General features: G+C 33.6%; 1 long non-coding RNA gene across 9 annotated transcripts in view, besides 1 other annotated feature; it reads right to left on the bottom strand.

Moving 5' to 3' along the window:
* MIR99AHG (mir-99a-let-7c cluster host gene) overlaps nt 1-27,107 on the bottom strand; it is a 561,240-nt gene that overhangs the window by 372,504 nt on the left and 161,629 nt on the right. The gene's annotated exons all lie outside the window — the stretch shown is intronic.
* Nucleotides 16,916-17,905: an enhancer, noted in NCBI's record as "OCT4-NANOG hESC enhancer chr21:17613639-17614628 (GRCh37/hg19 assembly coordinates)". NCBI's record gives its function as "activates a minimal SCP1, AML or CMV promoter by ChIP-STARR-seq in naive and primed H9 embryonic stem cells {active_cell/tissue: H9 hESC(naive and primed)}" and the evidence as "EXISTENCE:reporter gene assay evidence [ECO:0000049][PMID:30033119]".

Genomic DNA, 27,107 nt, shown 5'->3' with positions numbered 1-27,107 from the left:
ATTTTAAAATTACATATTCTGGTTCAAATGGTGTTACGGTTTTGACAAGCTATATGACACTCTCAGCTACTTGCCCAGCAACATGATAGTCACATTAAAGCTCAGGATGAAATAACATGTCTGACAAAATGGATAACCCGTGACAAAACAACTCATTGGGAAATGTCACATTGAGCTTATGAATCACCTATCATCAGACATGCTTAGTACCCAGGAGGCTAGTGGTATCACCAGAAGAACATTCCCAACCAGGAATAATTAGGTTTCTCTAGAAGCAGCTTTCAAAGTAAGCTTTCAGACTGTCACAATTAAAAGCAAGCTTACTATTAGACACGGTAGCCTTATAAAACAGGCCCTATCAGAGTAAAGAACCGTGTAAATATCATACAGCAGTAATGGGTTTTGGAAGTTTTCAACATGATTAAAAAACCTGAAATGTACCTATCCTTGGAAGACGATAAATCATTGAAATCCCACATTCTGATCACTTAGAATATGGGAGTGGGGAAACACAACTGCTTACGGCTTTTTGTTCATAACTGGCATTGGCTCCCAAAGGAGAGAGGGCATTGGTTTCTGACACAAATGAAGGCAAAATCCACAAATCCAGCTTCACTTCATCCGTCTTCAAGATGTCGATAAGAGAGACTGCTGCCACATGCAATCATATAATTTAAGGGTATGTGCTTAGCCACAGAGAAGCAAAGGTATGCATAAAAACTCCAAGGGCAGAGGAGTGATAAAGAACTAGATCTTTGATGTGCTATAAAGAACTTGCCACAGTGATAATTTACAAACATGTGAAGATACATATACACACAGTTTGATTTAATGTCCATTATTTCTTAATTAGGCCACTATTTAGAAATTGGTCAATCTCCTAAGTATGTTGTAAATGACAGGTAGATCTGTCATTCCATGTATGTTTTCATGCAGTTAGATTAAGAAAACAAGATCGCATTAATATAATCAAACTATGAATATTAGCTTTATAATAAAGCAATCAGTAGTAAGGAAGAATCTAGGAAATTTGCTAATGATTATCTTCAAAAATGCTCCCCTACTCTCTATAGACATGGCCAGCAAAGATATTTAGAACCAAGCAATGACAATTTAAATTAATTATTTCTAATTTTTTAAACAGACCAATAAAAGACAGTCAAGGTTAATTTAGTTAACATCTCATGAATTCAGGGCTGCAAGAAGCTAAGGTGGAATTTTATGGAGGGTTTGTTTTCTGTAAGAAATCCATTAAGGCTTCTGAAGTTTGCCTATTTCTTTTAAATGGCATCCTAAAAGCAATTTTTTTAAAGAAATCCTTTTTATTCAAATATAAGCACCTTCCAAAGAAGACTAGCTTGCTAAGAATTTACCTATTCATATCTGAAAATACTTTTCTGACAAAAATTCTTGAATTCAATTACCATAAATTTAACATCCTGATCACTTATGCTGGAGGATATTTGTTATAATGCTAACAAACAGTGTCCTGTGTACTCCTACTTATCTTTCTTGCTTTTAAGGAAGGTATTCAGCTTAAATAGCAACTCTGTTAGCTTTAGAGATAAGTAATCATTCAAGACAGGACTGACAATTGATCCTATGGTTTATAGAAAAGGCTTTTACAAGCCAAATCAGTGAATTCTTCAGTAAATGTTTTTTCCAGATTTGAACCTGTGTTGGTAAAAGACATGGAAATTTGGCAACGGCATCAATATAAACTTGGTTTAATTTACTGACCAAGATACATTAAAAAGGTTTTCACTTACCTTGCGTAGTATTTCCATTTTGGTATACTACCTCTTTCCCTCAAAATATCTCAGAAGATCACCTTTAGTAAATCAAAATTTATCCTTTTATAGTCATACAATTTTACAATACAGGTATTTAATCGACAAAGACAATAAAATCAACTAGATATGGCCATCTGGAGTTTGAGGCCACCAAATAATGAAATAACTGTTAAATGTGTTAGTCTAGTCCTCTGAGTGGCATTTTCCCCTGTGTCATCATGCTAAGTACTAAGGGATGTATCCATCCCATAATTTGAGACATCTAAGCCTGCAGGCAAAAAGTAGATAGAAAGCAAATGAAGTTTAAAATACAGAAAATTGCTTAGAAAAAGAATTGAATTAACACCTAGAAATTAGATTGCTTATTTAATTATTTCATTTAGTTTTCATTTTCCTTCAATTACTTTGCAATCTTTTGCAATAAATGAAGCCAAATCATAGAGAGAAAAAGTGTAAGCTTTCTCTTTTTTAAAAAAAAACTAATAGCCCATTGCATACAGTAGAAATGTGAAAATGTCTGGTAAACTATTAACTTTTTGTAGAACACCTGATTGAAATTTGAACAAGATCCAGTTAAATGAAAATGATAATTTAATGACTGCATTTCTTCAATTTTCAATGTAAAGAAAATGCCAAATGAAAAAAAGAATGTTTCTGAGGCAAATGTATTTTAGAAAATCAATATCAACTGAGATGAAAATGCTATTACAAATGCTACTCTAATTCAGGCTATGGAAATTAATGTATTTAAATATGTCTTCGTATTGAAAATATAAACTAGAAAGTTTTAAATATATGCAACTAGAGACAAACATATCTGATCTTGGGGAAAAGAGAAATAGTAAACAATACGGCGGAATTATCCCACAACACTGTTAAACAATTGATAAATATTAGATCTGAAGTTACTGCCAGTGGACAGTCTATTTTTATTGGTAGGCAATGAATCATTTGAGATGAGATGGAAAAAAAATTGGGGGTATCTACTGATAAAAACTGTATAATCAAAACTTTTGTTTACCCAGGACCAACACTTTGAGTTGAAAACAGAGGAAAAGGTAGACATTTGCTCTTAAGCCTACTATGTATGTGTCTCGTCTATACACACAACTGTGCATGTTAGTGTGGAGATTGGCCCAGGAATCTCATGACTGAATGTCAAGTAAACATGTACCTGATGTAGGAACTCATGGGTGGCAAGATCCTAAGTATAATACCAGCCCCAAAATGTCTTCTCTCTTCCAGGGGGACTGAAATTCCCTTACTAGTGTATTTTATTATGTTAGAGAGGGGAATTGGATATTCAATGATTCCCTATCAAATGCAAAATTCCTAGAAGAGAATTTTCCAAGCTACTACCAGTGACCAATATTATAGTTCAGTATTTGCCAATCTTTTTCCATCTCAGAATCCTGACAGACATGACATACTTCCATCAACAGTTTAACATCATTAAGGATTCTATCACTAACATTTCTGTATAGTAGAAATTCTCTGTACCATTACTATTATAAACTATACAACCAATCCCCCAGTTGAGAATCACTGCCTTAATTGAAATGAATGCATGAGGTTTCTTTCCCACGGGAAACATTCAAAATAGGCTCCTGTGTAGCATGAGACAGGTGAGTTGGAGAAAAATAGTCCAATTCATGGATATTATCAGTGAGTAATACACAAGTATGTTGAATGAATTGGACTTGCTTTTTATGTAGTTCTGGATTATTTAATATTTATATTTCTATATGCATTTCTATTTATTCTCTGCACAAAAAGGAGATTATATCTGTTTTGTATTCTATAATTTCTGTAAGGTGGCATAATAAAAATCATAGACTAGCATACTTCAGGATGGGACACAATGAATGAAATGTATTTCCCACAAAATCTTCAAACGAAGGGAAACTAATTCTGTTTATTCTACAGATAAACCATTACATTTCAGTGAAAGGCAATTGGCTAGCTTTCTTTTTTTCAAGCTATTTCTTTCGATGGAATTAACAAATTTGACATTTTAAGAGCAATAATTTATGATAACCTATCTATTGTATTAACACTCATGTTGGTGCCTCTCATATCGGGCTAAACCTAAGTTTTAATCACAAAACTTTTCATTCCTAAGCCATCAATTGCCATTAATAATATACCAGATAGATGTAAACTGAAGTACATGTAACTTATTCCAGTGGCAGTAGAAAATAGAGATGATTTAGTACCTAGTATGATTGGAGAAGAAATGACATTTAAAGAAACTATTTAGCATAGATGACATGCTGGACATACTTGTGAACAAGTATTCATTGGAACTTTATTGGAACTATTTATTTTGGCAAATGTCACACTCAAAATAAGTTACGTGGTAGCACTAAAAAATAGAAATACAGGAACTTTTTTCAATGAGGAATTTATTCATGTTTATAAAAATAAGTGGAAGAATTGAGAAACAAATTCTCCACCAGCAGTAACAAAAATAACACAAGATAAAGTCAAAAGTCTTTTTTTGTTGTTTTTTGCTGGGTTGATCTGGCTTAAATAAATTCATACTTTCTATTTTAAAGAGGGCTACCAACACAAAAATATGGGGAAAAAAACTTTTATTTTTCATACCTCTCAAAATTATTAAAGAGTTCTGAGTCATTTCCCAAATTTAGTAAAAAATAGTAAAATAATACTACATTTAATAATATATGAATCAGTCTTCAAAATGATCTTTGATGACTTTACACAGTAGAAGGAAGAAGAAATGCTAATATAAGTGATCTATTTGATACTCTTACTGACAATTTTTAACGTGGAGGGACTCATTGGTGGAAGGTCCTAAGTATAATACCAGCCCCAAAATGTCTTCTCTCTTCCAGGGGGACTGAAATTCCGTTACTAGTGTATTTTATTATGTTAGGGAGGGGAATTGGATATTCAATATTCAATTCTATTCAATTGATAGATTGATATCAATTTGCAGGAAAATCCTGTGATACAGGTGGTACAGAGTACCTCCATCAGGTCTGTCAACCTGACAGTGAACAAGGGTATCAGTGACATACATATCCAGAGCTGTCCCATAAGGTCCACACTATGGTAGCTGGGCAACTTTGCCTGCTTCTAAGAAAAGAGACAGGAGTGATAGAGTGATTACCAGGCAATCTATTCTCCAAGTAAAATTTAAGGGACTATGAAATGAAAATTATTTTCTTTTATTTACCGTTGAAAATACGTATCCCCCAGTGGAAAGCAGTCCATAGATTTAAATATTGGTACCTAACCTATGTTTTAGCCTCCCTGGCAAAAATGTGTACAAATGCAATGATAAAAAAAAAAATTAACTGAAAGTTATACTTCAAAGTTACATAATATACTGTGCCTCCCAATGAGTGCTATAATCCAAATGACAAACTAGTTGATATGATTTGGCTCTGTGTCCCCAAGCAAATCTCACCTCGAATTGTCATCCCCATAAGTCAAGGGAGCAACCTGGCAGAAGGTAATTGCATCATGGGGGCAGTTTCCCCCATACTGTTCTCCTTATAATGAGGGAGTTCTCATGAGATCTGATGGTTTTAAAAATGGCAGGTTTCCCTGCCGTCTTTTTCTCTCTCTCTCCTGCCACCATGTAAGGTGTGACCTGCTTCCCCTTCCCCTTCCACCATGATTGTAAGTTTCCTGAGGCCTCTCCGGCCATGAGAAACTGTGAGTCAATTAAACCTCTTTCCTTTATAAATTACCCAGTCTCAGGTAGTATCTTTATGGTAACACGAAAACAGACCAATACGTTAGCAATTTAAATTACTTCTATTATTTTGTCCTTGGAAGATCACTAAACATCTGTGAAGTTTCTGATTTCCCCTACTGTCTCAAAGAAGCTGATGATTATTCATTTCAAATAATCTATTAGAACGGATGCAAACTTAAAAAGCTGTAGATATCCATAGCATTGTCTAGATGACATTTCAATATCAATTTCACATTAAGGAAAAGTATGTTTAATCTAAGAAATAATGTAGCAATTCTATGTTTTTAGCTATAATTTGAATGATGTGAGGTTAGCTCCAAATATTGACATTTTTCATATTATTTTAAATTACGTAAAACGAAGGAATGTGTAATTTTGTTAGAGACTCAGAAACAATTTCATGCACTTTAGTTAATTTTTATCACAAAAGAGTATACCATAATTTAATTTTAAGTGATATGACATATTATAATAATATTAATCCCAGTGGCATGGCACAGGGGACTGAATTAACATGTTTTAAAATTGAACCAGTATATCAATTCACATTAGACCTACAAACGCACTAGAGCTTCTAATAGATTTCACTGCTGACTGTGGTATGTAAATTTTTGAACTTCACAGACACAATATTTCATAATTGTAATCATAATTTAAATCAGCCATAACAATGTGTTGAACCTCTCTGGATGAGACCCTAAAAATGATCATTAACAACTAAACTTCTATAAAAGGTAATTTATGCAGTCTATTTTCTATTGAAGTCCTATATTATAAAAAGTTAAACACAATATTTATAGGGTTTATAAAATTTCCTATTATTTTTAATTGGTACATGACAGTGAGTACTGGTTATTCACAAATATACAGAAGCATGTAGTGGGTTTTATTTCTGATATGTACATTTTCTTTTTTTTTTATTGCTTGTCTCTATTGCTTTTATATTCTGCAGCATGCTTTTCTATTATTTTGCTTAGTACATTTCAATGTAAAATCTATTATGAATCATTTCTCTCTTTCCATATACATACACATACATTCAGACCACCCACATACATATCTATATACATGATAGAAACATTTGAATGCAATATTAGAATCATTTTATGGCATTTGTCTTGCTGAGACTTTCACTACCTTCAAACATATTTAACTTTCCATGAGGTACACTGGATCAAGTAGAAAATGGGGATAATTTTAGTAATTGTTTTCATAAACATTAAAAAGTCTAAGGGTCAAATATGCTGAAGTAAAGATTCCATTTTAGGCTCAATCACTGACACAAATTTTACAAATTTGTAAAACTTCTCATTTCTTTACTCTGTCTTGCACGCAAGCAATTATCACAGTTATATAAACATCCATATAACAGTAATGAAGTGGAAGCCAATTACCAAACTGGAATGAAATTAACAAAGGTTAATAGCCCTTTTATATAAAAATGGACAAAATTATTTTGTGCTATGATTCCAACTATGCAAAATCAATACCCAGGAAAAAATAAATGAAAATAAACACCAAGTAATGGTAGTGATAACTGTATGGCTTCATAGTTATTAATACTATACATTTTGAAACGACAAGCTTTTCAGAGTAAAAACTTGTTTTAGTTTTATTTTTACAGTACACAAAGAAGTAGATAAAAAGTCAGATTTGCCTGAAGCTATTTTATTGCAATTGAAAGTATAGTGGAGTTTGGCAGATTTCCATAAGGGTGGAATGAAATTAGCTTGTCCATATATGATTATGCTTATGCTGGAACTACCATTGTGTATTAGAGTTCATCAGGGTCTCTCTGTCTCAGAACCATATCTCATTCCTTCTGAGGTTAGTGAAATTCTTCCTTAATGAATACAGGTTCCAAACTTTTTTATGGTCATTGAAAAGACCCATAGGTGTTAACGACAATATTACAATTCTGTAATCCACACCATAACAAAACTTCAAAACTCTTCATAAACTGTGGGACTGATAAGAGTTTGACAAAACTGATATTACAGGGTTGTATTAAAAGCCCAGATTTCACCACTATGCGGTATATCCATGTAACAAAACTCCATTTGTACCCCTAAATTTATATAATTTTTTAAAAATATGTTTAAAATGCTTATCACCCATCTCTACTAAAAATACAAAAATTAGCCAGGCATGGTGGTGGACTCCTGTAACCCAGCTACTCAGGAGGCTGAGGCGGGAGAATCACTTGAACCCGGGAGGTGAAGGCTGCAGTGAGCCGAGATCGCACTACTGCACTCCAGCCTGGGCGACAGAGCAAGACTCTGTCTCAAATTAAAAACAAAAAAACAAAACAAAACAAAACAAAAACAAAAAAATCTTACCAATTCTAGTCCAAATGGTACTTACAGAATATTTAAAACTATTATGTAAAATATTGCTTTCTTTATTTTATAGTAAACATATGTGTAAAGACACACACATATATATCTATGTGCATATGCATATATATATATATGGTAATATAAAATAATGACAAAGAAGCTTACTCTTATTTTGGAAAATCTGAGCTCTCTAAAAATAACAAACCACATGCTATCTGACAAACTGATAACTAAGACAAAACAAAAATCAATTAAGCAAAAAGAAATTAAAGAATGGAAAAATAATATCAATTGTTCCATTTTCTGGTGTAAATTTGAAGTAGGAGCTAGGTTCTCTATTTCAATACAGACACGGGTCTTTTTAAAAGTTCTTAATGATCTGTTATGGTTTCAGCAGGTATTGAATTATCTTTCCATTAAGACCCTGTATGTATGCAATGTGTGCACAGGTCCCAACTGTACCTTCCTGCAAACCCTTTTTTTAAAATTATGATCTTTTCTATAAAATGATGTTAATACATATGGGAAATACAGGTATTATGTACACCAAAGTATTATTAACATATATTTCAATGTTCAAGACCATTGTGTAATATATTTATCAAGTAATATTGATCTGTGTATCGCATAAAATTACTTTTGTATTTTATAGTGGAAAATTTCTCTTGAGAGGTTTTATGGTTATTCTTCCCAGAATAAATGCAGGCTCTTGACATATTATGGGGTGGATGTTTTTGTAGGATTAGGCACAAAATACATCTTCACCTATAAAAGTAACTGAACCATGGTATAAAGTAATAACCAGGATTAATTCTGACCTGATTAATTCTGAGTAATCTGAATTCCACTCCAGCCTCTGCCCATCCCCTCCAGGCTTGCCAGAGGAAACTCTGCCAGTGAACACTGAAACCTTTCATTTTGAGGACATCCTTGAGCCTCTGTATTAGCTCTGTGGCCTAATATCAGGCTTCTTATAGTATAAGACAAGTGAGTATGCTTCTACTGAAGCCACTGTAGCAGAGATTTCTGTTATTTGTACATGAAATCCTAACAAGCTGACTGCTTTTAAAACTGATTCAATATACCTCTTTGGGGTACCTCTCACCCTAGACCACTATAGCAAAACTTCTATTTTGCAGGTGCCAAAGGTGACTAGAGTTGTTGAGGATTCTCATTATTTCAATATTTTAATAACTGTCTGCTGTGGGACAACAAGAAATAAAAAAACCAGGATCACTCAGAAGTGGAGCAGCTGCAACTTCAGGACTTCCTCAGTCAGTCATAAAGGTAAACTGATAAAAACAGGGCAGAGGCTGGGCATGGTGGCTCATGCCTGTAATCTCAGTACTTTGAGAGGCTGAGGGGGCAGATCACCTGAGGTCAGGAGTTCAACACCAGCCTGGCCAACATGGCAAAACCTCATCTCTACTAAAAACACAAAAATTAGCTGGGTGTGGTGGTGGGCGCTTGTAATCCTAGCTACTCAGGAGGCTGAGGTAGGAGAATCACTTGAACCTGGGAGGCAGAGGTTGCAGCGAGCCGAGATCACTCCTGGGTGAAAACAGGGAAACTCTATCTCAAAAAAAAAAAAAAGAAAAGAAAAAAAAAAAGAAAAAAGAAAAAAAGTGCAGAGGTTAACTACACAGCAGTCATATTCTTATTGACTGCTACCATCCTGAAAGTGCCAATCATTTAAACTTTAGCAGTTTTGCGCATTTATCATCGTCTTTCACCCACTGTTATCCTCCCAAGATTAACTCAAGGATTCCTTTTTCCTGTTAGTTTAGAATGTTTTACCTAATAATTAGCGACCAACCCCCATTTTGCTGTCATGGGTGAGTGAGATGAGCATTATGAAGACTCACAACGATGTCTCCCAAAAAATAGTCTACCAAACGGTTAATACATGTAACAGGCAAATAATAATCTACATCTTTATGTCTACATTAATTGTTCTGAGTCTTTCTTACACATTTTTCTTTATAGATATACTATCTGTAGCAAACAATTCCAGTTTCTGATACAGTATGTATTCCTACTTTTTTCCTGTCAGAACCCTGATTTAGTTTGGGACATCAATGTACCCAGGTAAAATTACTCAATTTTTTAGCTTCTCATAAAGCCAGAGCAGATAAAGTGACACAGTTTTGGGTAATAACATGAAGTTGAAAGGGCCATCTCTTTCCAAATTGAAAAACAGAGCATTGCTTTTCGCTAATTTGTTCTTTCCTTCTTTCCCAGGTAGTTATCCTGAGGATATGGGACCTAGAAGTGTAGCAATCATCTACCTAAGAAGGAGTTAGCATGAGGGTAATAGTAGTCAGCGCAATACAGAGCAGAAAAAAAAAAAAGAGCCCGAAATCTTGAAGGCACTCTTGAGTGTCTATATTAGCCTGTGGCCTAATCTCAGGCTCCTTGTAGTATGAGACAAGTAAATATGCTTCTATTTATGCTCCTGTACTAAGGACTTCTGTTACTTGCACATGGATTCCTAATACACTGACTGTTTTTAGAAATGATTCAGTATACCCTTTTGGGATACTCTAGGACATAATACACGTCCAGTGCTTTGCTAAACAGTGAATTCATCCATAGGACAGGGGTAGACCAATATTCTCTGAGACATCTTTAGCCTCTAAACTATTAGCCTCTAAAATATTCTACAGTGGTTTACTTCTAGCTCTTGCAATCATGATTTGTGAACCCCAAAGAGGGACAATTTGCCTGAAAATTTTTATATGAATAGGAATCTGGGAGATACAGTCTAGATTCTAGATGTATTCAAAATTTCTGGGACATTTCAATTTTTTATGGTACAAGAAGGAAAAAAAATTGATTAAAATCAGAATCATCCCAGCAAATCTATAGTAGCACATTCTAAAATATAAACCAGAAATGACCAAAAATAAAAAATAAAAAGAGAAAGAGCTGACAGAAAGACTAGTGATCAGGTTCTTAAGAAATAAATATAGTTTTAAAGGAATTTAGGCTGGGTGAGGTGGCTCACGCCTGTAATCCCAGCACTTTGGGAGGCCAAGGTGGGTGGATCATCTGAGGTCAGGAGTTCGAGACCAGCCTGGTCAACATGGTGAAACCCCGTCTCTACTAAAAATACAAAAATTAGCTGGGCATGGTGGTGCACACCTGTAATCGCAGGTACTCAGGAGGCTGAGGCATTCTACTCATGAGAATCGCTTGAATCTGGGAGGTGGAGGCTGCAGTGAGCTGAGATTGTACCACTGCACTCCAGCCTGGGCAACACAGAGCAAGACTGTGCCTCAAAAAATACATACATACATACATACATACATACATACATACATACATAATGGAATTTAGAGTTTATGTTTTTGCTTTGTTTTGTTTGAGACTGAGTTTCTCTCCGTTGCCCAGGATGGAGTGCAGTGGTGCGATCTCGACTCACCACAACCTCCGTCTCCCAGGTTCAAGCAATTCTTCTGCCTCCGCTTCCTGAGTAGCTGGGATTACACGCGGACACCACCATGGCCGGCTGATTTTTGTGTTTTTAGTAGAGATGGGGTTTCACCATGTTGGCCAGGCTGGTCTCAAACTCTTGACCTCAGGTGATCCACCCGCCTTGGCCTTCCAAAGTGCTGGGTACAAGCGTGTGCCACCGCGCCCGGCCAGAGTTTCTTTAAACAATTTTTTTTTTTTTTTGCTGTCTAAAAAGTATAAATTTATATTTTGTTAAAAAAAAGAAAAGGCTAAAATATTTATGGTCTAAACAATATTTTTAAAAAATACGTTCTAACAAATATTTTTTATCTGTGGATTACCTATATTAGAATAACTTGGAGTTGCTGGTACAAAATGTAAGTTTAAAAGACACACTCAGATTTATTTAAAAATTTAAAAATCTGAATTTCTGGGGGTGGCACTCAGGACTCTCTTTTAAATAAATCACTCGGTTGATTCTTGTGTTCACCTTGGTGTGAGAACATCTACCATACCTGACACTGTAGAATTCTGAATCTCTTGATCTGAAGTTTAAAGTTGACATTTGGCAATGGCTTAGAATGTTCAGTATAAACCTTGTTTCTCACATTTAACACTCAGAATCCATTTCTTCCATATTTCATTTTAGTGTTCATTTTCCTAGGAAGCAGACGACTAATACATTATCTTATCTGAGATAGTCTCAGCCATGATATACTGATGGCACAATGAGACAGGGTCCTTCATAATATTTATCTTTTAATCCAAAGATATATTTTAAAAACTGGCAATTACATCCAATGTAATTCAATTGGGTTGTACACGGGCAGGAACACTGATCAAATTGTAAAATTAGAGGTATTTGGATAATGAAAGAGAATATAGTATTCTCAAGGAATTTTTCCATTTACTGAAATTTAACATCACTAGTAATGTAGAGCTTGCTTAAGATGAAGCATATTATATAGACCAAGCAAAGCTAAGAAGTTTCATTCCAAGTCTTGCAGTAAATTATGCATGTAAACACTGAAAAGATTGTAAGACTGTCCAATGGAATTGTATACATTGCCCAGAAATGTATATGTTGAAATCCTAACCTCCAATGTGCTGATATGAGGAGTTGGGGCCTTTGGGGGGTAATTAGATCATGAAAGTGGAGCTCTCGTCAGTGGGATTAGTGCTCTTATGAAAGATACCCCAGAGAGCCCTCCAGTCCTCTTTCTGCCATGTGAGAATACAATGAGCAGATGGCAGTCTGCAACCTGGAAGAGGACCCTCACCAGAATCCAACCATGCTGGTACCCTGATCTTGCACTTCCCTGATTCCAGAACTGTGAGAAATAACTTTATGTTGTTTATAAGCCACCCTGTCTATGGTACTTGGTTTCATCAGGACAAACTAGACAGATTGATTAAAAAAAGAGTAAAGCAAATGGAGAAACAAAGTTTGTGAGAGTTGTGTGTAAGGCACATAGAAACGAAAACTGGTAAATATAATAATAAATGACAAACTGAAAATCACAGGAAAAAATGAAAAAATGTTTCATCTTAGTTATATCAAAAAGAATAATCCATTTTTTTAATACCAGTGTACGGAAACAGTACCTTTGGTAAAAAACAAAAAACAAGAACTCACGGCTTGAAAATTGGTTTCTGTTATAACTGGCGGCATAGCCAACTGACTGAACTCTCCAAGAAATATCTTTATCTGTTTAATGCATCAGTTGAAAGAGCCACACTATTCATTGAGAATTATTATTAGAATGAGATATAGATCTATTCTATTCTCAGATTAGTACAACATGGCTTTTATACTAAATGTGTCATTGGAGACACTTTGTCACACAGACAATATATTGGCATTTTTGATTATATGATTTTCATCTAAATAGAGCAAGTGATATAATGAACAAAGATGAATAGGCACTCTGTGTGTTGACTTGATGTTATTAATATTTATCCCAAAGGTTGTTTTATACTAAAAGATGCTATGAAAGGACATTGGAAAGGAAACAAGTTCTAAAAGTGGTTGGAATAACTATTTGTATTGGAAAACATCACAGAATATAATTATAAGAGCAGATTAAGTAGATTAAATTTTACTGAAGAAAATTAATAGTGCATAATATTTTAAAGTGCCAGTAAGAAAACAACTCAATACTACCTTTTGTTGATGAGTGACAAAAGGTAATAATACTAGGTATAGAACATCTGATGTGAATAAAAAAAAGTTCATCTCATCATAAATATTTTCTTTGCCATTTATTTGATATTCATCAATATCAAATTTATTTGATGAATATGAATATCACATTCATAAATATCAAATAAATCATTTGATTTATGTGAATATCAAATAAATCATTCGAATCAAATATTCATTTGATAATTATGTTTACATCCCCATACTATAGATATAAAGCCTTACCTTTTGGTAAAAAAATCAATGTCTTCTTGAGAGATTTTCATGAAACCTACTATTATCACAAATCCCTCAGAAAAGCATGTCATATATGATATATTATATTACTACAAATGTGTTTCTAAATTTGACAATATATATCTAAATAGTGTTAACTAAATTATACCTCAAGTCATCACCACCCTGCTTTAGCATCAATAAGAAAGAACAAGAAGTTTCCTGATATACATATAATTTCTCTTGAATCATTTTTGATTCACATTGCACATATTAATAATCTCATCCTTCCTTTTTCTGACAGTTGGCACAAGATTTTATATCTTTAGGAAAGAAATTGCAACATAAAAAACAGAAATATGTTATTAATTCAAATTAATGTCTATCTTTCTGGATAAAAGAATGAATTGTTTTTAATTTGATAGTGAAATTATTTTGTTTTTGAAATCGCAATAAAACTTAAACCTGTAAGATTGCTGTAAGTAAATTTAGTTGTGATCTTTTCTTCTGAAACAATGCTGATATGGTTGAAAATAATTTTGTCATAATTTAGACATGGACTTTCACAGCATTGAGACCTCTACTAATGTGACAGAATTAATAAAGATTTTTATATTTAATTTTACTTGCAACTCAAAATATCAAGCTTTATAAATTGTGAGATTGACATAATAAATTCCCCTTGTTTTTATTTTTAACTATTTTCAAAACAAAAATAAAAAGAATCAATGTTTTCATGTATGTTCACTCCAAATTTAGTAATAACATTTTCAATATCCTCTATAACAATTTTAAGAAGCTAAAGACTTGATCCTTCAGCTTGTCATCTGGAATTATAAAATAGTACTGAGCTTTTTTTTTTTTTTATCCAATCCTCTTATTTTCAGAGACAAAATCTGAGACCCTAAAGGGCTACAAGACATATGTACAGCTGATGTACCTAGATAGTAGCAGCTTACATTCTGAGCAAAGGCAATGGAACCCAACCCAACCAGACTTTAGTTTGTGGCTCTTTTTTTTTTTTTAATTATTTTTATTTTATTTTAGGCAGAGTCTCCCTCTGTCACCAGGTTGGAGTGCAGTGGCACAATCTCAGCTCACTGCAACCTCCACCTCTCGGGTTCTAGTGATTCTCCTGCCTCAGCCTCCCAAGTAGCTGGAATTACAGATGCCTGCCACCATGCCTGGGTAATTTTTGTATTTTCAGTAGAAAAAGGGTTTCGCCATGTTGGCCAGGCTGGCCTCGAACTCCTGACCTCAGGTGATCCACCTGCCTCGGCTTCTCAAAGTGCTGGAATTACACACATGAGCCACAGTGCCCTGTCTAGTTTGTGGCTCTTCTAATTTTGTTTTATAGCTAATTTCTTTATTCTACTAAATATATATTTTAGGCATCAATTATTTAATACAAATTTATCAGTAACAAAAAATAAATTCATAGGTAGAAACTTTTACATATCATTGAAGAATTTAAAAGATGAACCTTTTCAAAAGTTTTTAAAAAAATACTGTATTTTAATTACCTTTATTTACTTTTACTCAGAACAGAAAGAATATGTTAAGAAAATTACAAATTTCCAGCAAGAAAAGCGAAAGCTAATTTTGGTTATTCAGCAATACCAAGTGTATATAGAAGATATAATTTAGAAGGCTAAAATAGAGCCTTTCTTTTAAAAATTACATTTAAAAATTATATTTAAAATATACTGTGTGCTTTCCAAAACAGAAATAGATCTCTTAATTTACGCACACATAGAACCTAAACTTGGGGGAAGGGTTAATATTCCCTAATAAGACCTAAGCTGTCTGTAAACACAGTAAATTATTCTTGTAAAAACTCAGCCTATCAAATGGCCAAAACCATCCCTAGCAGCAACAGAATCTTGTCACTAAAACTCAAATTACTCGCCAACACTTCCAAGGTTACTGGAGTGAAACCATCTCAACAAAAGCTGGTTTTTCATTAAGTTTGTGTTCTTGGATGCTTTGTCTATTATGCATGGACTTCCTTATGAGATACAAGAAATTATATAAAGCCTATCTGATAAAAACACACAGAATAATCAACTTCTTGTGGTTGAAAGTAAATTCTTTCAACGAGAAACTACATTTAAAAAAATCTCCAAATGTAGTAATGATAACTATTTCTTTCCTTTATTGTAATATTATAAAGTGTAGATTCAAATATATTTAATTTTACTTGAAAATATGCTTGGTTTTGAGATAGGGAAAAGAAATAATCATAGGATTCTTTAATTGTTTTTTTTAAAAAAGGGTATTAAAATACTAGTACTTCACTAATATTTCAAAAGACATTTTATTCTTTTAACAAAATGCCTCTTTTAAAGAAGTCACAGTCTATTTTTTCACTCCTTGAGGAATTGCAGAAAGCAGAGAATTAAATAAAGGTTGGTTTTATAGGCATTGAATTAGAATATTAAATCGGTATGTCTAATTCACATAGAACAATGCCTTTTGGACAAAAAGGAAACCCCAAACCACAGGACCTTATATCTGTACACAAAGTTTTCATCACATTTACTGTGCAAATATTAAATCATTTTATTTAAAAAATTAGATTATCACTAAAAAAATCTGAACTTTGCAAATTTTTCTATCCATCTATTTATCTATCAATAAATAATCTATGGACGTGAAAACATAAAAATTATAAGATGTACTTATAATTTAAAAGTTATGATTTGTTTATATGAAACTGATATTTTATCTAAGTATAAAATTCCTCTGTCAAAACATGTTTCTACCAAAACAAATATGTTAAATTCCTCACATAATTTTTTCCTTAAAAAAATCAATTCAGCTAAAACTTGTGAATAATCTACCAATTAAGTAATATCTCCTTAATAAATTCTATGTTCTTTACATGATAGAATAATAATTTTTTTCACAACTAACCAGATATAAACTTTCATTATATTCATATTCCAAAAAGTTGGCAATGTAGAGTTTACATTGGAGCTAGATACATTTAAGTTTATAATTTTAAAAACAGAACAATAGAAATTCAGAATTTTTATCTTGATCTTTAAGAAAGAAACTCATTATTAAGCCAACCAAAATCTTGTTGCATTTTCATGTATTCCTCATACATTTATACATCACTAAGAAATATAAAATGCTTCATATCTGCGAATGTTGACATTATAGAGCTAATAAACCTACAAGTTCCTCTAAACGACAGATATTGCAATAACTTAGCATCGAATAGGGTACTTTAGAAACTTGAACCTTAAAATGAATATTCTCAAAATATTTATTCTGGATATTTAAAGGCACTTTTGTAATTTGTTCAGGGGATACAATTTTATTTGAAAATATTATAAAGGAAAAAATGTCAGCGGGGAGTACTAATAACACCTCACATGGTTAAATGTGTTCACAGGAATGAATGTAAATAATTGTAGATACTCAAAAATTCTTCGGTGCCCTGATAAATATTTATCCTTGTCTTTTGTCATAAGGTCTATTACCTGCAATCTCACCACAGAGGGAGGTGGGAAGGGGCACCTCCAAGAAGGTCCGCCAGATCAAGGTAGTGGACTAGTTGTTTCTGGACGGAAAACATTTAATTAAGATCATTTCCGATTTTGTATCTCCCTCTGTGCAGATGAAAAGGCTCACTGTAGGGAAGAAAAAGGGCCCCCCATTGGCTGTAAACAGGATAGAACAAATATCCTGCAGCTCCAGACAAGGAAACTCAGGCCACCCTGCTGGCTAGTAATGGGGAGGAAGTTATCTCCTACAGACTTCAGAGATAAGTCCAAGAAAGGCATATTGGTATGAGAATCATGGGCACATTGTGAAGAAAGAGGAAACAGAGCTAAATCATTCATTATGGCTTAGTTCCACCGTTGTGTCATGATGCAGACAGATTCCTGAACACACAATGGTTGGGACTTTACATATCAAAAATCATGGCTGTTATCTTTCTAAAGCGTGTGTGGAGTGACAGGGGCACGAATCCTTCTGATAGCTTAGCAGCAGAGTCATATATCCATAAACTTCTTTTGTGCACCCAGTGATGAATATTATGTTATTACATCACATTTATGAAAAGAATGATGTTTTTCCATTGAATCACAAACATTAAATTATCACAATAAATTAAATTGTCACAATAAATCACTTTATTATATGGAGTCCTTTAATGAAGAAAATATAATGGATTCTACATGTTCCCAAACCATCAAACATTTGAGAGAAATAGTTTGGCAGCCCAATTTATAGTTTTGAGCCACACCGTTTTACAAAATTAGAATGATGTTTTTATGGAAAACCTGACTCATCCTTCATTTGACAGCATCTTTGGAAAGTTATAGAAAATGAGTTTGAAAATCCTGACACATTATAAGTCTGTCCAACAATGTTTGCTTCCAAGAAGCTCTTATATTTCATCTCTGCATTTTTAAGTCCATGCTCAAAGCGTTGTATTAAAAAATATAATTATAAGTAATGCTTGATTCATTAAGTCTTCTGACTTCTTCCTATTTAAAATAAGTAAATAAATAGATGCCACCATTTTGGTGTAGCAAAATTGCATTAGTAAACCTCCCCATTGAGCTGGTCTGGTGGCACCTGCCTAGAATCCTAGCTACTTGGGAGGCTGAGGCAGGAGGATCATTTGAACCCAGCAGTTCAAGTCCAGCCTGGGCAACATAGTGAGACTCTGTCTCAGGAAACAAATAAACAACAACAACAATAAATTCTCCCTTTTGGCTGAGCTTTGCATTTGGAAAACTTCCCTTCTGTCCCTTCAGAAACTGTTCATTAGCAGATTGTTCTTGTTTTTGTTTTTTCTTTATATTGTCGGTGGAAACATTGGAATTTCAGATAAAATCAAATCCTATTGAGAAACAACATCATTCCCAGTGATATAAATATGGTGTCCAGTGGCAATGATTTGCTTCGTTTTTCAACTTAACAGAATATTTTTTAGCGAAAATGTAAAGGTGGACTGAAGGTAGGAATAATTTTTAACACTAAAAAATATTATTTAAAGGAAAGTATAAAAGACAAACCGATGGTAATAGTTATAAATTTACACACTTAAACCTAAGAATCTATGCTTATCATAAACTGGCTCTTTGTTTGATTATAAAATAAAGTAGCAATTATATAAAAGGATCATAGAATGTAAAGTAGCAGAACACAGTACAGGTTTCATATCAATGAAATATATGGAGACATAATTATGCTGTAAAGACATAATAAACCTGATCCCTCTACTCACTAGCTGTGGGTGTATAGTGACGCTGTCCAGGCATTCTGATTCTCAACTTCCTATCTGAGAAGGTGCAATGATAAGATTCTACCTTCCTTACAATACAGGCTTATGTTGAGAAGAAAAAGATACGCTGTCATCCGGTATCTCATCCATCAGAAGACGTTTGTGGGTCTCTCTAGGACTCGTTTACAAACACTCCAATTCTCCTCTCCTCCCAGGCACATAGTAGGAATGTACTTTCTCACCCCTTTTGAATGAGAAGTACCCATGTGACATGTGTTAACAGTGAACTGCTGTTCATCAGTGTCCCTTTCCCTGTCACATGAGTCAATACGGTGCCTCCCTGAGTCTGGGCTCCAAGTAACTATAACATGCTGAGTACCCCTTGCTCTATAAATGAAAAGTAAACCTGCTGGGGGTGGTGACTCACGCCTGTAAATCTAGCACCTTGGGAGGCCGAGGTGGACAGATCACTCGAGGTCAGGAATTCGAAACCAGCCTGGCCAACATGGTGAAACCCTGCCTCTACTAAAAATATAAAAATTGGCTGGGCATGGTGGTAGGCGCCTATAATACCAGCTACTCAGGAGGCTGAGGCACGAGAATCACTTGAACCTGGGAGGCACAGGCTGCAGTGGGCCAAGATCATGCCACTGCACTCCAGCCTGGGCAACAGAGCAAGACTGTCAGAAAAAAAAAAAAAAAAGAAAGAAAAAGAAAGAAAGAAAGAAAGGAAAAGTAAACCCTTGTTGAGATAAATCAGTGAAATATGGGGATGGTTTATTACTACAGCATAGTCTATAGTATTCTGACTCACAAAATATATACATTCCAAAAGGTTAACATTATAAAGGTTATACCCAAAGAACAAAAAATAAATATAAAATGTTTCTTGCCACAGTTTCTCTTCTAGATACAAAGTATGAGATTGTCAACTCAATTATACCCCATTTTTGAGACCCACAATTCTAACTACCAATGTCTACACTCTAATTTTTTTCTGCTACCCACTCATGTTCATAACAGAAAAATTAAATTGAATCATAAATTAAATGTGCAAATATTTTTACAAAGACAAAAATGCAAACACTACTAAACCTTAACTGTCTGGAACCAAACTTCAATAAAACTGAAATTTTCAATTATAAACTGATGTTTAAAGAAATGAATTTTATATTAAAAAAAACTGGGAATGTCTCCATCAAAGTCCATGTTCAAAACAAATAAATATGACTCAAATGACCGTATACTATGTAAATGAAAGTGATTTGCAAACTACTATATCATATAAAATGGAAATTTCAAGAAAAATAGTAGCCATTAATAAGATGACAACTGTGATTTAAATTCCATACTTCAAACTGACCAATCTTTGTGAACTTTTTTCAGTCCTTATTCAAAATGCACCAAAAGTACCACACAGATGTGTTTTTATGATGTGTCTTAGTAAAGATGTATGCCTATAAGGCTGTGGCATGTCTATATTTGCAAAAAGCTATTTGGGAGTACTTCTTTTACTGGACTTCCTCTGGCATAATTTATACATCTCAAGGCTTTTCAATGTATGTATTCAAGGCTTTATTGTAATTTTTTTTTTCTTGAGACAGAATCTCACTCTGTTGCCCAGGCTGGAGTGCAGTGGCATGATTATGGCTCACTGTAGCCTAGACATCCCAGGCTCAAGTGATCCTCCCACCTCAGCCTCTCAAGTATCTGGGACTACAGGAGCGCACCACCACGGTTGGCTAATTATATTGTATTTTTTGTAGAGATGGGGTTTTGCCATGTTGCCCAAGTTACATTACTTGTAATTAAAGAAAAAACATATTCAATTAAAATATGAGGACAGGCCAGGTATGGTGGCTCACACCTGTAACCCCAGCACTTTGGGAGGCTAAGGCAGGAGGATTGCTTGAGGACAGGAGTTCAAGACCAGCCTGGGAAATATAGCAAGACCCTGTCTATACAAAAAATAAAAATTAGCCAGATGTGATATCATATCACACCTATAATCCCAGCTACTTGGGAAGCTGAGGCAGGAGGATGGCTTGGGACCAGAAGGTTGAGGCTGGAGTGAGCCATGGTCTGACTACTGCACTCCAGCCTGGGTGACAGAGTGAGAACCTGTGTCTAAAAAAAAATGTATGTATATATATATACACACACACACACACACACACACACACACACACATATATATATATAGATATAGATATATATTCTCATATATATGTGTATATATATATATAGACACACACATATATATACACATTATATATATAAAAACATGAGAACAATTATTTTTGAGAACTTATATGCAAAGTACTCACTAGAAGCTCTCAATGCTGAATTCACATTAGGATCTCATGGGAAGTTTCTAATAAATATCAGAGCCTGAGCCTCACTTAAGACCAATTACATTAGAATATCTGCAAATGGGACCTGAGTATTTGAACCCTCCCACTTTTCCCCTTCCCACCCCCAAGTAGGGGGATTAGTGGGTCATATGATAAGTGTATGTTTTCCTTTTTTTTTTTTAAGACTGCACATATTTAAAGTGTATAATTTGAGAAGTTGTGGATACATGTAAAGCTATCAGTAAAATCAAGATTTATCACCCATACATGATTATTTGTTAATCTTCTGCAGTGTTTCTAACATGCAGCCAAAGTTGAGAAACAGGGGGCTACAGGGAGATAAAGAGGTAAGTCGTGATTCCTCTCTCTAGTCACATAACATCATTTGTGTGAGAGCAGCAATTAGATAATTCTAACTAAAATACAAGGGAAACTAAAAAAGTCTAAATACAGAAACAAGCATTATGTCTTGAGATACTCAGGAAAAAAGTAATAGGATGAGAAAAAAATCTTCCCACTTAGAGTTAGCTGTGGCCAATTACATATAACTTGATGAATGACATATTTCTATTTATATATAAAAATCATTTATATTTTACAACATTGTTATATGACAAAACACTTATCATATTCAACATTTGAATAACTGTCACTTTGAAATAAAAATTTAAAATATTTTTTGAAAACATTCTTTTAATAAAAATAGCGATCTTTCCTTTGCATTGTATAAATACAATAGTATTTCAAAACAATATTTAAAATATATCACAGTGAATATAGATCAATGTTAATTTTGCTGTTAAATATAATTACCTCTCTATAGAGAAATACTTATTAGAGGGTATTTCAGAATTTTGTTTATTTAAATATTCCAGAAAGCCTACATCAAGCAAAATTTTATCTTACTTTTAATATTCAGATAGTTATTTTAACTCTTCCTGTATGTAATTTGATTAGACCCGACTCTCTCGTTATAATTAAAGTTATTATGAATGACTTTGTCATGTTTATTTGTATATATTTATCACTATAGTTGTGTCCTGTCAGTCACTGACTAGTCCACGAACTTGATAATTCATTCAATCTCTCTGGCACTTTATACAATGTGGACATTGGGTTAGATGCACTCAAAAAAACAAAAAAAAACACTACCCAATATATCAATAGGCTTTATAACTATATATTCAGAAACTTGCCCTTGTACAATAGGAACCATCTTAACATTTAGAAAAGGGATATTTTAAGCTACTAGTTTCATACAGTGTTTCTCAAACTTAAACAGTACGACCCCTCTTTGGAAGAAAAGTGTTCACAGATCTTCAGTGTGGGCCTAAATTATTTTTCATAAGTTTAAATGCAAAACGGCATTTGAATTTCTAAGGCTTATAATGTTCTAAAACTATAAAATCTAGAGAAATGCAGACAATATAAACAAAGCTATGAAACAAAATTTATAGCTCTCCCCACTCAATTGAACAGAAAGTTGAATATTTTATTTTTCAAGACTTGGGAGAAGAATGTCTGGCTACTAAGTCAATTGAGAATAATGTTTACTTCATCAATGTTTGAAAAACCAGTGCAACCATTGTATATTTAATCTAGTTTCCTTAATTACTGGAATGGTCAAACAATCTATTCTTTAGTTCAAAAGATTTGTCACTGACAATGTTTGTGGAATACTACATATCACATTATTAAGAGTAAATAAATATACCTTGACATTTAGAAAGAAGTAACGAAGAACAAACAGTTAAAATTTTAAAAAGGCAATTGTAAAGACTTAAAATTTGATTCAAAACTTTCAACTATACAAAAATATAACAAGGAAAATCTATCCTGGCTGCTTTTCATATGATAAAGACTAGGAGAAAGACTACAATCTCTATTTGAGCCAAGTTGTATGAAGCAGCTACTAAATTAATTCACTCTCTCTCCATTTGAAGTCTTCCATGAAGCACTCATGACTCTATTTCTAACCTTAATTTTAGAGGTTACAAATCAAATATCCAATTACATGCTTTTAAAAAAAACCCTGAAAATTGCATCCTCATAAATACTTCCATATAGATACCTCAGGCAAAATCATAATTATACACCCTTGGAGGTAAATTACATGTATGCAATCAGTTTGGAATCAAGTCAGAATAATCTACTTCTATCAATAATAGTTACAGTTCATCATGTCTCTTAAATTCCTACTCAGGACTCAAACCATTGTTTACCTCAGTTGCCGCAGATTCGGGAGCAGTAAATCTCATAGTATTAAACAGCTGCAACTATCATTCTGAACAAGTCCCTGATACTTCAGGTCTCAACATTCAGGAAACATAGCTTAGACTAGGTCATTTCTAAGTTGTATTTATGAATTCCATTTCCATGGTATTCTAATATAAAACTTCAAGAGTTCCAATAAGTTATCAACTAAACAACTAAACTGTCTTCTCAGTCTGACCCACTCAGGTGATTGATCATATGCTCCTGCTTAATCTAGCCCTTTGCCTTTTCAAAATAATGACCAGCAAACATTGGTTGAATACCCACTATGTGTGAGAACATGGTCTAAGTATGAAGAAGCCATGATGCACATTAATTAGATGTGATGAAATTCAGGGGAATGAGGATGATGGAGATGGAGAAAGGGAATAAATTGAGAAGAGATAAACTTGGTACTGGGTTGTGAAGAAAACTGAATGCATCCTGAGGATTTTGGTTTTTTCCTCTAAGCAAACGAAAATCATAAAAACTTTTCAATGGGTGACTGTCATGATAATATGCAAATTCTGGTAGGAGTGTAGCTGACGGACAAAAGAGGTAGGGATATAAAAATAATTAGTGGTTTATAAAAAATCAAAAAGCATATGTTGTGGTCCTAAAACTGAGGTAATAAATACAGAGGTAAAGAGAAGTTTGGGATACATGTAAAGATGTGATCAATAGGACTTTTATGAAGTTTGGTTAAGGATAGGACAGAGTAAAGATACAGCATAAAATATTAATTAAATAAAGATTATATATTGACAGCCTATTAAGTTTCTAGCACAGATTAATATCAGCCATCAACCAGGAGAGGAAATAGTAGGAGAGGTAGGTTAGGGATAAAGACTGAGCTCATTAAAGTTTTGGTTGTCTTCAGGTCATCGAATCAAAAATATATTAATGTCAGTTGGAGATGCTGAACTTTGGAGAATTCAAGCAAAAGATTAAGAGCTCTTTCGTATGGAGGTTAAAGGTTCTATCTCTTGTAGGGAGGCAGCTTTTTCTACCTCTTAGCATGGTGCCTAGCAGATAGTTGGTTTTCAAAAATGTTTGATGGCTGGCTGGATGAATGCCATATCTCTAATTCTGGTAGAAATTTGTCTTGGCTTTTACAAGCTATATCAAAGTTTCTAAAAATAAAAGTGGGGGATAAAATTCATGAGACAAGAAAGTCATTATATTTTACATTTAAGAAGTTGATGTCACAGAAGGTCACAAAAGGACTGAGAAGGAAAGCTGATGGAGGAAATGGACTGGATGAAGGAAAAGTAGAAGATGGCGGGAATTGGCTTGGGAAAGATTAAGAACACTAAACCCTTCCTTCAAAGACTGGAAGATATTTCTAAGGTCAGATTCCTAAAAGTAGAAATGCTGAAATAAACAGATCCTTAAATCTTATATTTGGCCTTAGTTGTACGCCACTGTAGTTGATCTTTCATACCCCCAAAGATTCATCTTCCTATATAGGGTCTACTCATATAACTCACCAGCTTATATTCAATAGTTTTATGCCTACTGTATAAATCCAAATGGATCACTTGGGCATTTTAAGAATTTGCACAAACTAGCCTCATCTCTGTCCAGCAAATAGAATATAAGAACATGAAATTTGAATATTATGATGAATTGTGCTGAACTGATAGAACTATATCCAAATAAGTCTATGACAAGGATTACATACTGTTTTCAAATATTTCCAAAACATTTAAAAAATCAATCATATTCAAACCCTGGTGTATACAACCTGATACACTTAGAAATATTTTCATAGAAATAAATCTCAGAATTTAAAAAATGGCATTAGAAATAGACTAGGTTTTGGACAGCCATGATGGCTCATGTCTGTAATCTCAGCACTTTGATCCACCAACCTGAGCAGATCACATGAGGTCAGGAGTTTGAGACTAGCCTGGCCAACATGGCAAGACCCCATCTCTACTAAAAATACAAAAATTAGCCAGGCATGGTGGTACACATCTGCAGTCTCAGCTACCAAGGAAGCTGAGGCACCATGAGAATTGCTTGAACCTGGGAGGCGAAGGTTGTAGTGAGCTGAGATTGCGCCACTGCACTCCAATCTGGGCGACAGAGCAAGACCTCGTCTCAAAAAAAATAATAAATAAATAAATATATATATATGTGTGTGTGTGTGTGTGTATATACATACATACATATATATATATATATATACACACACACTAGGTATTAAGCAGAATTAATAAATCAGGAAGATAAATATATCAAACAAGTACATAATTCCACTTTTGGCTTTTTGAGAGAAGCTATAAAACAGGGAAACTTCTGACACAAATATCAGTGAAAAATGAAGAAAAACACATAAAAATTAGAAATGATGAGGAGTCTATCAAACCTATTCAACAATAACTTTGCAAACCAAAAGACTATAGTTTATAAATATGTGGCAGTAAAATGAAAAACTTAACAAAATGAGCAATACTTTTTAAATGTCAGACTAGAAATTAACTCAATGAAGGTAGAATTCCTACAAAATTCAAAGAACAATTAATAAAACATTTTTTCTAAATTTCACCTCCAAAATAGATTCTGTGGTCTGAATATTCTACCAGTAAGGTTTTTATTTTATTTGTAATTTTTACATATATGTAACTCCACAGAAAATATTGTGAAGTTCAATGTGGATATAACGTCCTTAATAGTACCACATAGATATCAAGCAATAAAAAATAGTATATATCATTCTTACTTTGGAATATTCTTTAGAATTCTCAAGTAAACAAAAAGGAATTGAGCTAAGGTATGTAATAAAAGTAAGCTTCCAGCTATGCAAGAGTAACATAATATTAGCAAATCTGCTGACCTAGAGAGGAGAACCAAGTCATCTTCTCAACAGATTTTAAAACATTAATTTATATTTAATTGAGATTTATAGAATATCAACAGGAACTTCTGATCATCAAATATAGTTAATTAAGAATATAATTACTTCTTAAGAAAAAGAATAAAACTTATACAAATAGTCAACACAGTACTCAAATTATAATCATGAAAGTAATTCCTAATAAAATCAGAAAGAACAAAGAATTATTCAGTTATTTCATGTTGCACCGAAAGACATAGCCAAGGCAATAAGTAGTGAACTCAAAATAGAAAAAAGTATGATGCTAAAAAGGAAAAAAATAAAAGTATCTAAAATTGTTATTGTTTTTAGAAAATATGATATTCTATCTGGAACCACAAAATAACTAACTGAAGAATAATTGCCATTAATAAAGAGCTAAATGAGATATAAGTATACAAAATAGGCACATCTTAAGAATTCTAAAAAATAATTCAAATACAATAGGTAATTTTGTAATATCTAACACTTATGAGCTAGGCACTGTTCTATACACCTAACTTGTATTAACATATTTCATCCTCAAGACAACCCCTTCAGCTAGGTATGTATTATTAGCTCCATTTTGCAGATGAGAAAGGACAGCCCAGAGAGTGTAAAGGATTTGCCAAAGTTCACACAGAGAACAGGTGGT

Source organism: Homo sapiens, chromosome 21, assembly GCF_000001405.40.
Source record: "Homo sapiens chromosome 21, GRCh38.p14 Primary Assembly".
NCBI lineage: Eukaryota > Metazoa > Chordata > Mammalia > Primates > Hominidae > Homo > Homo sapiens.
Note: the sequence above shows the minus strand (reverse complement) of the source record. Positions and strands in the feature narration are given on the sequence as shown.